The 15,926-nt window shown below is 37.9% G+C and overlaps 1 protein-coding gene across 9 annotated transcripts in view, besides 1 other annotated feature; it reads right to left on the reverse strand.

Annotated features, from left to right (window-relative positions):
- The window catches only part of SKAP1 (src kinase associated phosphoprotein 1), a 311,620-nt gene that overhangs the window by 219,958 nt on the left and 75,736 nt on the right, over window positions 1–15,926 (reverse strand). For 7 of the 9 annotated variants that reach the window (XM_005257755.5, NM_001075099.2, NM_003726.4 and 4 more), the window contains exon 3: window positions 10,390–10,415. The exons of the other annotated variants lie outside the window; for them this stretch is intronic. In XM_005257755.5, coding sequence (XP_005257812.1) covers window positions 10,390–10,415 — 26 coding nt within the window. The remainder of the gene's footprint in view (window positions 1–10,389; window positions 10,416–15,926) is intronic. 9 annotated transcript variants of the gene reach the window in all.
- Window positions 15,008–15,302: a silencer, noted in NCBI's record as "tiled region #12941; HepG2 Repressive non-DNase unmatched - State 23:Low". NCBI's record gives its function as "represses a minimal TATA promoter and a strong SV40 promoter by Sharpr-MPRA in HepG2 cells {active_cell/tissue: HepG2}" and the evidence as "EXISTENCE:reporter gene assay evidence [ECO:0000049][PMID:27701403]".

The following is a 15,926-nucleotide window of genomic DNA, read 5'->3' on the forward strand; positions in this document are numbered from 1 at the left end:
ATTTTATTACTATTGGTTCATCTTGCTTTCTTGTCCCATCTTTCCTTTCTCCCAAACAGCAAGTTGTAGTAGGCCTTAGCACTTATTTACAATCCTGATACATTTTGGGGTCTACTATGCCCCAATTGGTAAGCCAACATTACTTAAGAAACTTCTTGAGAGAAACTACAAGGCTAGTTGGATTCCAATATCTTCCATTAAAGAAGAATGAGATGGCCGGGTGCAGTGGCTCATGCCTATAATTGCAGCACTTTGGGAGGCCGAGGCAGGTGAATCACCTGAGGTCAGGAGTTCAAGATCAGCCTGGCCAACATGGCAAAACCCCATTTCTACTAAAAATACAAAAATTAGCTGGGCGTGGTGGCAGGTGCCTGTAATCCCAGCTACTTGGGAGGCTGAGGCAGAGAGAATTGCTTAAAACCCAGGAGGCAGAGGTTGCAGTGAGCCGAGATCGCGCCATTGCACTCCAGCCTGGGTGACAGAGCAAGACTCTGTCTCAAAAAAAAAAAAAAAGAAAAGAAAAGAAGAAAGAAGAAGAGGAAGAAGAAGAAGAAGAAGAAGAGGAAGAAAAAGAAGAAGAAGAAGAAGACATGTTGTACAGGCTACAGGTAGATATAAGAAATGTTTTTCAAAAGTCCAAGGAGTAAAAATAAAATAATACATAGTAAAGAATGGATTATGGGTAAGATTAGCAGGCCTAAACATGTGAGCCAGCTTTTAACATACTGAAGAAAGGGTAAGTTTTCTTTGTGATAACATAAACCTCCAATACCACTAAAGCTGTAATGGCAAATGGTGACAAGATTCAACCTCCCCATGCCACATCCCACTCCAAACAGGGATTCTCATTCACATATTTGACAACATGTATGTAACATCATTATCAACAGCCAAAACCTCTCACTGTCAAGAATTCAGTTCAATATTTGGTTCCTTGGAAAAAAAGTTTCACATGAAAAAGTATCTCTTTATTTAAAAAAATTACTTTTTAATTGAGGCATCACTAACACAAGTAAAGTGCATAAATCTTAAGGGTAAGTGGTATCACTTTTTAAGTTTAGGAAAATACATTTTAGAGATTAATCATGATCAATAACTTTTCCAGGATGGCAAATGTGTGTTAAATTCACATCAGCTGACAAGGACCGATAGGGTTCACAAGATTGGTTCTTCCACTACTTGCCTCACAAGAGTCAGCAGAAACTGGAATCTTTATTTTATATGTCATATAAATCCCCTTGCCTATAACTTAGCAGTCCCTTTCCTGTGCTAGTGATACTTAGCCATCTTCATAAACAAGTTTCTGAGAGAAGCATGTGTTGATGAGAAGCCAAATGAAAAATAAATGCTTTCTAATAGAATTGGGTCCACCTATTACATTATTTAGCCTCAAAATATCAAGCAAATTCATTGGGTTTCAGGTCTGAAGTCTTAACCTACTTACTCACAAAAAAGTTTTAAGCAAAAAAAACAAAAAAGCTTGTATTCAAATGGACTACACTTTTCTCTCAATATTTTGTGTTTAGAACATGAAAGTTTGTTAGAGGCACAAGTCTTGATGAACACTAATTCTTATGTAAAAATTCTATGCTCAGAAACTGTACTCCTCACCTGATTTTCTGTGTTAGTCCAGGAATAATACCTTCTAAGAGAAATCATTTATAAGTTGTTTTTTTCCTCAACCAAAGTCCCCTGGGCTAATCAAACAAACTTAAAGCAGTCATTAATTTTCAGTGACTTGATTTTCCTTGACATCTATGTGAAGACGAAAATCTGAAGTTCTGTGAACTTCTAAAAAGACTAAGATGGGGTAAGAAAAGATATCATTATCAGTCACCATGAGTATTATACAATACTAATTTAAAATTGTTATTATTTTTGTTTTGTTTTTGTTTTGAGACAGGGTCTCACTCAGTCACCCAGGCCAGAGTGCAGTGGTGCAATTGCAGCTCCCTGCAGCCTTGACCTCTCAGGCTCAAGTGATCCTCCCACCCCAACCTCCAAAGTAGCTGGGACCACAGGTGCACACCCCCATGCTTGGCTAATTTTTGTATCTTCTATAAAGATGGGGTCTCTCTGTATTGCCCAGGCTGGTCTGGAACTCCCAGGCTCAAGCAATCAGCCTCCCTCGGCTTCCCAAAGGGCTGAGATTACAGATGTGACCCACCATGACTGGCCATATAATTTATTTTTAAATTCACTTTTTCACTTGAGGCCAGGAGTACGAGACCAGCCTGGCCAACATGGCAAAACCCCATCTCTACTAAAAATACAAAAATTAGCCGGGCATGGTGGCACATGCCTGTAATCTCAACTACTTGGGTGGCTGAGGCATAAGAATTGGTTGAACCTATTGGTGGGGGTTGCAGTAAACTGAGATCGTGCCACTGCACTCCAGCCTGGGTGACAGAGCGAGACTCTGTCTAAAAAAAAAAAAAAATTCACTTTTAAGTGATAAGTAAACTCAACACACCTATATATACCAACGTTCTCAAACATTAAACAACAGAGAATGCTGCTGTTTTATACCATCATCAGGGCCTTTCCCATTAATTAACATTTCAAAATAAATAGGCCAGGAGCAGTGGCTCATGCCTATAATCCCAGCACTTTGGGAGACTGAGGTGGGCAAATCTCTTGAGCCCAAAATTTCGATACCAGCCTGGTAACATGGTGAGACCTTATGTCTACAAAAAATACAAAAATTAGCTGCGCATGGTGGCTCATGCCTGTAGTCCCAGCTACTGGGGAGGCCAAAGTGAGAGGATCACTTGATCTTGGGAGATGGAAGCTGCAGTGAGTGAGTCGAGATCAAGCCACTGCACTCCAGCCTAGGTGACAGAGCGAGATTCTGTCTCAAAAACTAAAATAAATAAATAAATAAATAGATAGATAGATAGATGAAAACTTGAGTGGGTAAGAAACTGCTAATCATGATTCTACTGAAAAATAGATTACTACCATGCTGTTTTTTTGTTTGTTTTGGAAAGCTTCTTTATTAAATAAAAAAAGTTAAGTATGCCCAGAGCAAAACCTTCAAATGTTACAGGAAGGCATATAATGAAAGTTCATCTATCCTCTCTTCTCTTGATCCTTCTCTCCAGAGACAACCATTGTGAGATTTCTTGGGTGTTCTATGAATTTTTGTATCTAATATAACAAGGGTCTCTGTGTGTGTGGCATATGTATTTTTTTCCTCTTTTTAAACAAATGGTAACATTTGTTCTGTTCTGTATCCAGCTTTTCTTCCTAACCATTTATCTTGACAACTGCTCCATATCAGCAATATAGATTTATCTCATTTTTTATTTTAACCAGTTTTTAACATTAAAAAATAATACATGCACATGGTGAAAATTCAAATAGTACCAAAGAATATTCTCTCTTTCATTCATATCAGTATCCCCCTCAACAGTGATTACCACTGTTAATAGATACATATGTATCCTTCCAAAAATATTCTATATACAAATAAAAACACGTGTGCTTGTGCCACACACACACACAGAAACAAACTATACACACTAGTTTGCTCAAATTACCCTTTTCATCTAACAATACTCCTTGGAGAACCTTCCATATTACGTATTACATACATATTACATATATATGTATCATTTTCTTTTAACTCTATATAGCATTCCATTAAATGGGTGTATGTTTATTTAACTAGTCCCCAATTGCTGGGCATTTAGGCTGTCTGTTTGCTATTCCAAACAATGCTATCATGAACATCCTTGTACATAATACATTGTATAGGGAATACAGAAGGCAGCATTACCTGATTCCAATGATTTCTTTTACCTGCATAAAATTTAGTTCTTTTTTTATATCTTAATATCATCTACTACAGAATAGGAAGGACTTTTAGAAAGGACATAAAAATCTTGGGAAATGTTAACTTTAGAAAGGAAAAAAGTGAGTCTTTTTGTTAAAAAAAAAATCTTTTGGCCGGGTGCAGTGGCTCACGCCTATAATCCCAGCACTTTGGGAGGCTGAGGCGGATGGATCATGAGGTCAGGAGATCGAGACCATCCTGGCTAATACGGTGAAACCCTGTCTTTACTAAAAATACAAAAAATTAGCCGGGCGTGGTGGCGGGCGCCTGTAGTCCCAGCTGCTCGGGAGGCTGAGGCAGGAGAATTGCTTGAACCCAGGAGGCAGAGCTTGCAGTGAGCCAAGATCGTGCCACTGCACTCCAGCCTGGGTGACAGAGCGAGACTCTGTCTCAGAAAAAAAGAAAAAAGAAGAATCTTTGATAGTCATTGCAAAACAATTGCTGCATTAATTTTGAAATGCATTATTCTGCCCTTTTAAAAATGCATTATTCCACTAAAAAAACCACCCTACCAGTAGATGTATAGGAAGTAAATTATTTGAAAAGGTATCAAAATTAGTAATTAACTTCAAAAACAGTTTGTGTGTGTGTCCACTTGCTACAGATTAATTTGTATAAAATGTAGCAAATAAGAAAAAGGGGGAAAATGCCTGAAGGAAGTCAAGCCACAAAAGCAGCTGTCAAGACTGTTGATGTTAAAAGGTTGAGTCAAAGCCAAAGGCAGGAGTATTCAGCCTGGGTTCATTTCCCCCTTATTAAATCCCCAAAAGACATGAAAAACATGCTGGAATATTTCTTTTTTTAAAAAGTAGTATAGGTTGAGATAGTCTAGGTTCAAAACCAGTGCTTGTGTTTATAAAATATCAGCATTCCAGGAATAGTGGTGGAAAGATACTTAACAATAAATTATAAATATTGTAAATTTAGACTTTTTCTTACATTTGCAAACACGTCATAAATTTGGGCTGTGTTTCTTTGTATAAATCCTACTTATGACTGTGCTAAAACCTTTTGGCATGAATGCAAAGAGTATTTTCATAAATAAAATTTAGTAAAATCACTGTACACTCCATTAATTCAAAAACACTTCTCTTCAACTTCAAAGGAAATTTCCTTCCTCTTTTTTTTAAAGTGTAAAGATGGTGTTTCTTTGCTGCTTTAATGTTTTGCTTCTTGTAGTTGTCATAACTACATGCTCCAAGTATGTGACCATAAGGGACAAGAAGTTAAGCAACATTTGTTCTTCCATTCAACATGTCTCAGACACCATATAGCAAAAAGCTTGTAAATCTAGCCTCTGAAGTGGCTACCACCAATAAAAATGCTCTCTATAAATACAAACCTTACAAATATATACATGGTGAGTTTCATGGCCCTACACCAGTGTTCAGCTATAATGAATGAATGAATTTTATGAAAAGATACATGAAAATTTTATTATCAAGGTTTTATACATGTATGTACTTGCCTCGCCCTACTTTGAGACATAATATTTGTTACCACTTTAGTAAGTGCCTACCATGTGGCAAGCACTCCTTATGAGTTATAATCTCATTAAAACTCATTACAACTCATAGTAACTGTGAAGTAGATATTATTAGTGAGATTTTATACATGAGGAAACTGAAGCTTCGAGAATTGATGTAATTTGCCGTAGCTAACAAAGTTTCTAAGTAGAGGAGCTGGGATTCGAATTCAGGTATGATTTCAAAGCTTAGGCTCTTTCTATCATAAAACATTAACTTGAACAACAATTTAAAAAATCAGTTCACTATTCTATGTACTTTATATCCAGATGCATAAAGCAATATATGCATTAATATACTAGATCTCATGATAGAGATAAAAGAAAAATGTTACATTTTTAATCAATCTCAACCTTTTTCTTTTACCTTTACATTATGGAGAAGTTTAAACATGTATAAAAGTAGACAAAACAGTGTAATAAACTCCCATATATACATCATTCAGCTTCAACAAGTGTCAACTTATGGCCGATCTCATCTCATCTATATTTACCCTGTTTCTTTCTCCTCTCCCATATTATTTGTCAGACATTATATATTTAAATATCATGGCACACCTCTCTCTGAAATAAAGAACTGTTTTTAAAAAAATTAACCATAATACCACTGCTACACCTAAAAAAATCCAGTAGTTTCCTAATAACATAAAATAACCAGTGTTCAAATTTCTAATTCTCTCATAGATGTCATTTTTTAATAGTTTGCTTGACTCAGAATGCACAAAGTTTATACATTCGTTGGTAAACCTCTTAAATCTCTTAATTTACAGTTAACATGGCTTTATAATTTCCTTATTCACTTAGCACTATTTGTTTTTGCCAGGCTATATTTTTATTTGTTTATTTCTTTGTTTGTGTGTTTGGGACAAGGTCTCGCTCGGTCTCCTATGCTGAAGTGCAGTGGCGCGATCTCGGCTCACTGCAGTCTCAACCTGCCAGGCTTGAGTGATCCTCCCACCTCAGCCTCCCAAGCAGCTAGGACTACAGGCCTGTGCCACCATGCCCAGCTAATTTTGTTTTTTTTGTAGACACAGGGTCTCACCATGTTGCCCAGATTGATCTCAAACTCCTGGGCTCAAGCAATCTACCTGCTCAGCCTCCCAAAGTGCTGGGACTACAGGCATGAGCCACTGTGCCTGGCCTGCCAGGCTATATTATTAGGCATCGATTTACTTTGACGTGAATATAGGCTTGCCATTTCAAAATGAGATTTTTAAGCTTCACAAAGTAGAATTTTTTCATAATGAAATATACTGAATAATTTTCTCAGAAACCTTTTACACCACTCATAGAGATACTCAAAGAATCTTTAAGTTGGCAAGAGATTCCACTGGCCCATGTTTACCACTACCACAAATGTAATGTGAGTGACCACTGGATAAAAAAAAGATATTATTCTATATAATATTCCCATGGTCTTCCCTAGATTTTTATTTAAATATTATGTCATTTGTTTTAGATTCTGGGTCTATGGTGGGAAATTCAATCTAATATTCATGAAGATTTTTTTATAGCAAATAAATTTTGAATTATAAACATTATACCTTATAATCAAATTTTTTATTAAAACTATCACTAACTCATTTTATAAAAGGGGAAACTGAAGCAAAATGAAGGAAATCAGTTTGCTCAATAACTTTAAGTGATATTGCCATCAAATCTAAGGGCAAAATTAATATTCCCTTATCGATATCACCTTTTAGATATTGATTACTGAAATTATAAAAATTCCATGGCAAAAACTCCGCTGGCTTTTCTTTGTAACTTTAAGTAAAAAATTAAGTAGAAATTTTTTTTGAGTAAGCAGGACATGAATTATTAAAGCAATATTATGTCTTATTGTCAAGTAAAAATAAAAAGCCTCTTTCATGTTCTCCAATTATGTTTAAGCTCATTAAAAGTGCCCTTCCATTTATATCCCCTCTACATTAAAGTAATGTATTCTTTGGATCATGTTTTATTTTCCCTGTTTCCTTTTTAAAATAAATATCATTCAGGAAGTTGACAGTGGACCAATAAAAAAACGCAGGTGGAAATGTGAGAGAAAGAATTACCATTAATGTCCCATTATGATAAATAGAAACTACTGGCTTTTTTTTTCCCACTATGTCAAGGTACTAAGCTCGATGCTTACACACATTACTACTAATCTTCAACAACCTTGCAATGAGACAGTGAAAAACAGTCACGAAGAGTATGGGCTCTCGACCTCTGGAGATAATGGGCTCTAGAATCCATACAGGGTTTCTTATTGGGGTGATGAAACGTTCTGAAATTAGATAGTGGTGATGGTTGCACAACTTGTACTGTACTATACTATACTATACTATACTATACTATACTATACTATACTATACTATACTGTACACCACTAACTTGTACCTTTTAAATGGGTAAATTTTATGGTATGTGAATTATATCTTGATAAGGCTGCCTTGGTTTTTTTTTTTTTTTCTTTTTGAGACAGAGTTTTGCTCGTGTTGCCCAGGCTTGAGTGCAATGACACAATCTCGGCTCACTGCAACCTCCGTCTCCCAGGTTCAAGCGACTCTCCTGCCTCAGCCTCCCAAGTGGCTGGGACTACAGGCATGCACCACCACTCCCAGCTAATTTTTTGTATGTAGTAGAGACAGGGTTTCACCATGTTGGTCAGGCTGGTCTCGAACTCCTGACCTCAGGTGATCCACCTGCCTGCCTCAGCCTCCCAAAGTACTGGGATTATAGGCATGAGCCACCGCACCCGGCCAAGGCTGCTATTTTTAAAATGTGTGCTACTAAAAGGATATACAAATAATGGATCTTTTATAATTAAAGACTATTTTCCTTCCAGGCACCAGACCTGGTTTAGTTCAAATATCTTGAAGAACTCAAGTGTGTTTTTAGGCAGATGCAGAGTTAATAAAATTCATCCCATCATCTTCTTGTACAGAGGGTCCTGTCACAGATAAAAATGCTCAGAAAGTTTGGGGCCAGCATTTCTGTTCTTTCTCACTCCCATCCCAACACCACCCAGTTTTCCAGGGCTTTTAAGATTCTTCTGCTAGTTGTTCTCTTTCTTACATATTTCTAATCTTTTCATAATCTTAAATTGTCCTGTTGTACCTTATCTAAACCACTTACTCCTCCTACCCATCCCACCAGCTTCTGAAGCACATAATCAGCTAAGGTCTGATCAAAAGGGCAAGGTAAAAGATACCCTCTCACTAACTCCTCCTACCCCTGAAAATATCTGTGAGAAGTCATGAGACTGGGGGCTAGGGCATGAGTTTTTCTATGTCATCTTTCCTTACATTTACTTCCAAATGCACTAAGACTTTGCCACATATATTTAATCATTGTCAAGAAGCAAATACAGTTTTCTGTTCTAAATAAACTATTTTCACTTGTCTCCTTGGCTGCTCTACCTCTGTCCTCTCTCCAAGAGAGAAAGGATGGGTAGAAGCTGCTTTATGTTGAAAGATGACTGCAATGCCAGCATTTCAAGAATCTGGTAAGATGTGCCTTTTGTCTTTTTTAGTCCCATATAGTCTCTTGTGTTAAGCTCCAAAATTATTTTCTCTTCTCAACCTATTCCTATACCACATCTCTGACACTAACTCTTTATTTCTCCTTTAGGTAATTAATTCTACCCTCACAGTTCCATTCATTTCTGCCAGTTCACAATCATGTGCTTCCCCCTGTGGATTTTGGTTAACATCTGTTAAACCCTGAACTATAGGGCCATCCCCTGAATAGTGCAATTCACATTTTGCGAAGCAAATTGCTACATTATTACATAAAATTATCCACTGCTCAATCTATGTTTTCAGCTATAAATGCTTTAGGACAGTGAGATATGTAGTAACAGCACATCACATTACGTAAAATAGTGTAAGTGCTCCAACTTTAACTTATGAGAGTCAAGAAGCTTTGAAAATGTATGGTTTTTATTTCTTAAAGATGGCTTTAAAATAAAGCTTTATAAAAACTTGAAATACACTAAAAGCATGAGCCAGAAAAATAAAAATTTTAATAAAACTTATAATCACTCACAATTTTAATTTATTTAAGGTATTACTATTCACTGAGGTTGGATACAGTGACAACATTAAGAGAATAAAAAGTACTTAAAAAGTTTACAATTGGTTAAGAAAGTTATAGAGCAAAATAGTTTATAAAGCTATTTGTAAGTTTGATCTAAAACTCTGTGATTATCTGAGAAAATAAAGCCCCTCCATTTATAATAAATTAAGATAATATTCAGGTTGATGTTTCTGACATTCTCAACCAGAGTACTAAAAAGAAGGAAGGCAAATACTTTAAAAGATATCCCCTCAAACTGTTTGAATTCGGAAAAAAATATTTCAATTCTGAACCTTTTAAAAATGTGTTTTAATCCTGGCCTTTTTCTTTTTTTAATTTTGCACACAGCTGTCTGTAGTACTTTTTAGAATCATGCCAGATGCTGGGTTCATCAAGCAAAAGCAGGAAAACAATGGTTTGAAAGCAATTAGAAGCACTGAGGCTGCAGCAAGGCTCATATTAAAATGTGATAACACTGTTCTAGTGGGAATTTCAACACTGCTCCATTTCTGACATTTCTCTGCTGCCAGACAGGCAGGCTGTGTGGAAGGGCACTGTGATCGAGGAGGTAACATACTGGAATTTATTTCTGGAGCAAATGAAGGATTAGCTGAGTTGGAACCCTCCCAAGGTTTTTATTATGGACTTGGCTACCATTTTATTTGAATGCTACTGGATCCTGTTGGCACCTAACAAAGCTCAAGGAATTAAAGCATATTATAGCCTTGGTTTTATAAAATAATCTAGCAACAGTCCACTCAGAAGGAGGAAGCATAGAGCTTCTTGTTGCTAAAAAGCAGGGCAGGGGAGCGCAGCAGGGTGAAGGTTAATTAAACACTCCACTAACTTTCCTTGGAAATGGTTAATGCCACTCTGTGGAGAAGCTTGTAGAGAAGAGACAGGAATAAACAATCCCATTTACACATTTTTAGCATAAAACCATACGTGGTCAAAGAGGACTCACCTTGGGGCTGAAAATCCCAATAGTACCTGAAATACAAGGGGGAAAAAAAAAGGGAATAAGTCAAACTTGTATTTCTCAATTTTGGTTGGCCTACCATAGCTATAGCACCTGGTCCAAAAAGCTTGCTAAAGTCTATAACCAGCCAAAGTCACTACTAATTTTGAGAAAAACAAAAGGTTATCCCTGAGATTTGAAAGAGTCTCAATGGCTTAAAAGATGCATTTAATTCACTGAAATTCCTCACGTAATTTTGACTTTAGAGCTGGAAAGGTCCTAAAAGGGAACCTAGCGGTGGCCTGGGGTTTCTCATCAAGAGCTCTACGGGCTTTCAGCAGGATGGTTCTTTGTTGTGACAATCTGGCCTGTGTATTACAGGACTGTGTATTACACTGGTCCTAGGTACCAAATACCAGAGGCATTCCCAGTTGTTATAACAGTCAAACCCCACCACCAACACCAACACATCTCAAATGCCTCTGAAGCCTAATTTTTTTTTTCTCTGTTACCCAGGCTGGAGTACAGTGACACAATCATAGCTCACTGCAGCCTCGAACTCCTGGGCTTTGCCTTTTAAACCTAAATTCTTAATTTTACAAGTGAAACATGGGCCGGGTGTGGTGGCTCACGCCTGTAATCCCAGCACTTTGGGAGGCCAAAGCAGGCAGATCATGAGGTCAGCAGTTCGAGACCAGTCTGACCAACATGGTGAAACCCTGTCTCTACTAAAAATATAAAAATTAGCTGGGCATGGTGGCGTGTGCCTGTAATCCCAGCTACTCAGGAGGCTGAGGCAGGAGAATCGCTTGAACCCAGGAGGCGGAGGTTGCAGTGAGCTAAGATCGCGCCATTGCACTCCAGCCTGGGTGACAGAGCGAGACTCCATCTCAACAAAACAAAACAAACAACAACAACAACAAGTGAAACATGAACAATTGACTTAAGGTTGTCTAACGTTTTAGTGCAATTGACTTAAGGTTGTCTAACATTTTAGTGTCTGAGCCAAGAATGGGGCTCTTGCAGTTCATTGTACCATCCTATCTCCTCTATTATTTTGGGAAATAATTGGCAAAACTGACAACCCTTGAAGTCTTTTATTTATCTATTTTTTTTTCTGAGACTAGGCCTTGCTCTATCACCCAAGCTGGAATGCAATGGCATGAACGTCACTCACTGCAACCTTGACCTGCTGGGCTCAAGGGATCCTCCTACCTCAGCCTCCCATGTAGCTGGGGCCACAGGCACACGCCACCACACCTAGATGCTTACACACATTACTACTAATTCTCAACAACCTTGCAATGAGAGACTGAAAAACAGTTACTGTTTTTTTGTTTTTGTTTTTGTTTTTGTTTTGTAGCGATGGGGTCTCACTTTGTTGCCCAGGCTGGGGCTTAAGCAATCCTCCCACTTTGGCATCCCAAAGTGTTGGGATTGCAGGGATGAGCCACTGCATCCAGCAACCCTTGAAGTCTTAAACTAACAAAATAGCAGTGGTGGAAAGGATCATTTGTAAGTCACTTATTTGGAAACTAAATTGCATTTCTTTCCCCACAAAAACAATGTTATATATGATGGTTACCCAAGAAAGGCTACTGTATTTTGGATCCCATTTCCTCCTGCCTTCACAGGAACTTTACATTATTCTTTATCAATTTTTCTCTTGTCTGTATTCAACCTCTTCCTCTCAGTTTGGCCCTTTCCATCAGCATTTATGCTCATATAAAAATAAAGCAAATCCTCCCTCACCCCTTCACATCCCTCCACCTGCTGTCCTGTTTCCCGTCACATCACAGTGACATTTTCAAAAGCACTGTCTACACTTGGCTCATTTTATTCCCTCACTGCCCACTCACTCAACATCCTCCAGTCAGGCTCAGAGCCATTGCATATTAACTCTTGCTATAGACATAATAACCTTCACACCACCAAATATAAGGGATGCTTTTCTATCCTCATTTTGACCTCTCAGGAGTGTAGATGTGCGTCGGAGCTTTTTTTTTTTTTTTTTAACCTAGGGAGGGAGTCCACAGTTTTTTATAGAATTCTTTTGCAGGGGTGCCCAAGGGAGAGAATACATTCATGGGTTCTTAGTTTCTGTTTCTGGTGGGCCACTAAAGCCCCTTCCTCATCCCTCTTTTCCACTTATCACTAGAGGTAGAAACTAAAAATCATGGCTTCACCCTGCTAAAAGCCTAAAACAAAAACAAAAGAAAAACAACAACAAAATAAGGCAGGTTGGACAAGCTTGCAGTTTAAAGGGTCCATAAACCCCCCAAAAAGATGCAGAAAAGGTGATAGGTGATAATGGTGTGTCTTCTAGTACATACATTACTAAAATTAGGCTTAGCTTCTTCAGGGAAGAGTATCAGCCCAGTGAGTATATTGGTTATTTCTTTAGTGTGTGACAAATTTTCAGAAAATAAAGACAGAAGAGGTCAGTGGAGAATAAGTATGTTGCCATAATTCACAGTTTAATTTGGGGAACATTATCAGACATAAGAAAGTGGAGAAGAAACCTGACAATTTGTCCTTCCTTGTTCCTTTCCTTTTCCAGAACAGTTCCTGGGTTGGCAATCAGGTGAAGAGAAATGTAAGATACTTGGGTTAGAGGGTGAGGAAATTCCAGGACAGCTTTGACATCTGCAGTAGCAAAGGGGAGAGGAAGGGGCAGAGGACGGGGTAGGAAGGGGCAGAGGACGGGGTGGGAAGTGGAACACTTCAAAACCTGGGAAGAAGGAGTGTCCATATCAATGCAGGGGCATATGTAAGCTGAAACTGGCTGAAACTTAAATACATTGTGAATAATAGTATGATGGGTCAATCTCCACCTAGCAGACAGTGCACCTGTACCTGGCCACCACGAAGAATTTTCCATAAAACTCCTTTCTGTAAAACATAGCTAATCAAGCAAATCATCAAATGGCTGAGCAATTTTCCATCTACTCTTGCTATTTTCCATCTTCTCTTGAGGCACTTCCCTAACCCCCAATTCCTATCATTACCCAACTTCTAATTTAATATAAATAGAAATTAGGGTTCGAGTATGTGCATACATGTATGTGCACATGTGTACGTACACTCTCTCTCTTCTTTCCAAAATATTGATGATGGCAACAGCAGGAACTTTGCTGTTGCTCTCATTTATTGGCCCAGAAAAAATCCTAGTCATGCAGTGGCAGTTAAAAGGTGCTCTAGGTAAATTGTTAAATAGGCAAAGTATGTTATTGATGATCTCAGCCACTTCTGTGTCTCCCTGTCCCATGATGCCCACTCCAACTAACACAGATTTTCAGTCCTTTTCTCTACCTACTTTAAAGTGCCCTGGCTTCCTGGTTTCTCTTGTCAGTCGAGAAGAAATATGATCTTATAAGTCATATATACTAAGAGTATTGCTTCTGCCAATAGTAGTTATACCTTAAGAACTCAGCAGTATCAAATAAAGTAGTAGGTCCATCTAGTTGATGTTAAATAGCAGAACCTGCTTTATTCCTGGTAATACTATAATTAAGTATTTCTGTCAAACTTTCAATTATAAGATGAATAAATTCTGAGGATCTAATGTACAGCATGGTGACTATAGTTAATAATACTGTATTACATACTTGAAATTTGGTAAGAGAGTAGATTTTAAGCATTCTCACCAAAAAAAAGGTAACCATGTAAGCCATGTAAGGTGATGAATGTATTAATTAGTATGACTATGGTAATCCTTTCACCATGTATATGTGTGTGTATATGTATGTGTGTGTATATATATATATGGATATATATCCATATATATATATATATAATCATACTGTACATTTTAAATATATTTCACTGCATTTGTCAATTTAAAAAAATCTGAGGTCAGGTGTGGTGGCTCACACCTGTAATCCCAGCACTTTGGGAGACCAAGGCAGGAGGATTGCCCAAGCCCAGGAGTTCAAGACCAGCTTGGGAAACATGGCGAAACTTCATCTCTACAAAAGGTATAAAAATTAGCCGGGCGTGGTGGCACATGCTAGTCCTAGCTACTCGGGAGGCTGAGGTGGGAGGATCGCTTGAACCCAGGATGTTGAGGTTGCAGTAAGCTGTGATCACGCCACTGGACTCCAGCTTGGGTAACAGAACGAGATCCTGTCTCAAAAAAAAAAAAAAGAAAATTCTGACAATAAAAATTATATGTAGAATTTGATGTGGAACAGTATGAAGTGGAATGTTAGTTCCCTTCTTTTTCAGAAGGTATCTTGCTATCCTACCTTTTCTCCCTGTCTTCTTTCTCTAAATATTATTTATGGATTAACCCTATAGGGAGTTTGTTTTTTAAAAAAGCCACACCTCTATTCCAAAGCTCACAAAGAACACTTCTAAAAGGAAAGCCCAAAAGGTGAGCAATCACATCCCTCACTGGAGGGCACCACAGATTAGTCCCTGCTGGACACCTTTAAGATCTTGGTCTTGTCTTGTTAAAGATATTCCCTGGGTGGCCTTCATCATGTTCTCTAGAAATATAATTCCACAATAGAGAATTCTATACTCTTCAGGAGGGATTTAGTAAAATCCTGCCAACATCTTCCAATTCTTACCCTTTTTCTGAAAACAATTCTCTGTTAGCCAGAGAGTCCAACAAGTCTGAGACTAGAAATTTTAAACCAAAATACAAAGACCACAATAGAAGTATACATAAGAAAAAGCATATAAATGCACACATACAGAGTTGTGTTTATCCTAAAAGCCTCTGAGAATTTCATATCAGGCCTGTGCAGATAGATAACAAACACTTCTTTAATCTTCTCTTTGAAGCTTCAGCTTCAATAGGAAAGGGAAGCTATCACTCCTCTGCAATATCCATACTCAATATCATCAGGACGATGCAAATGATATTTGGAACTGAAAAATGATGAGTACAGAACGAGCAGAGAGAGAATGTTGCAACCATATTGATGATGATCATTTTTACATTCAGTAAAAATAAACCCATCTTCACTTATGCCTCCAAAAGTGAAAATGGAAGAATAAAATTTCACAATATTTTCTCTAAGCTACAGAACAGTCTTAAAATTTTAGTATTAAATTGTAGAGTATGCTATTTGTGTTTTCAAATTAAAGATGTTTTGGCCAGGCACTGTGGCTTGCGCCTGTAATCCCAGCACTTTCGGAGGTCATAAGTTCAAGAGCAGCCTGACCAACATGGTGAAACCCTGTTTCTACTAAAAATACAAAAAAATTAGCTGGGCGTAGTGGCGCATGCCTGTAATCTCAGCTACTTGGGAGTCGGAGGCAGGAGGATCACTTGAACTCAGGAGGCAGAGGTTGCAGTGAGCCGAGATCGCGCCATGCACTCCAGCCTTGGCAACAGAGACAGACTCCATCTCAAAATAAATAAATAAATAAATAAATAAATAAATATAAAATAAAGATGTTTTAACTGAACTTTAGGTCAGATGCAGTGGCTCACACCTGTAATCCAAGCACTAAGAGAGGCCAAGGTGGGTATATTGCTTGAGCCCTGGAGTTTGAGTCCAGCCTAGACAACATGGCAAAACCCTGTCTCT

Source organism: Homo sapiens, chromosome 17 (assembly GCF_000001405.40).
Source record: "Homo sapiens chromosome 17, GRCh38.p14 Primary Assembly".
NCBI lineage: Eukaryota > Metazoa > Chordata > Mammalia > Primates > Hominidae > Homo > Homo sapiens.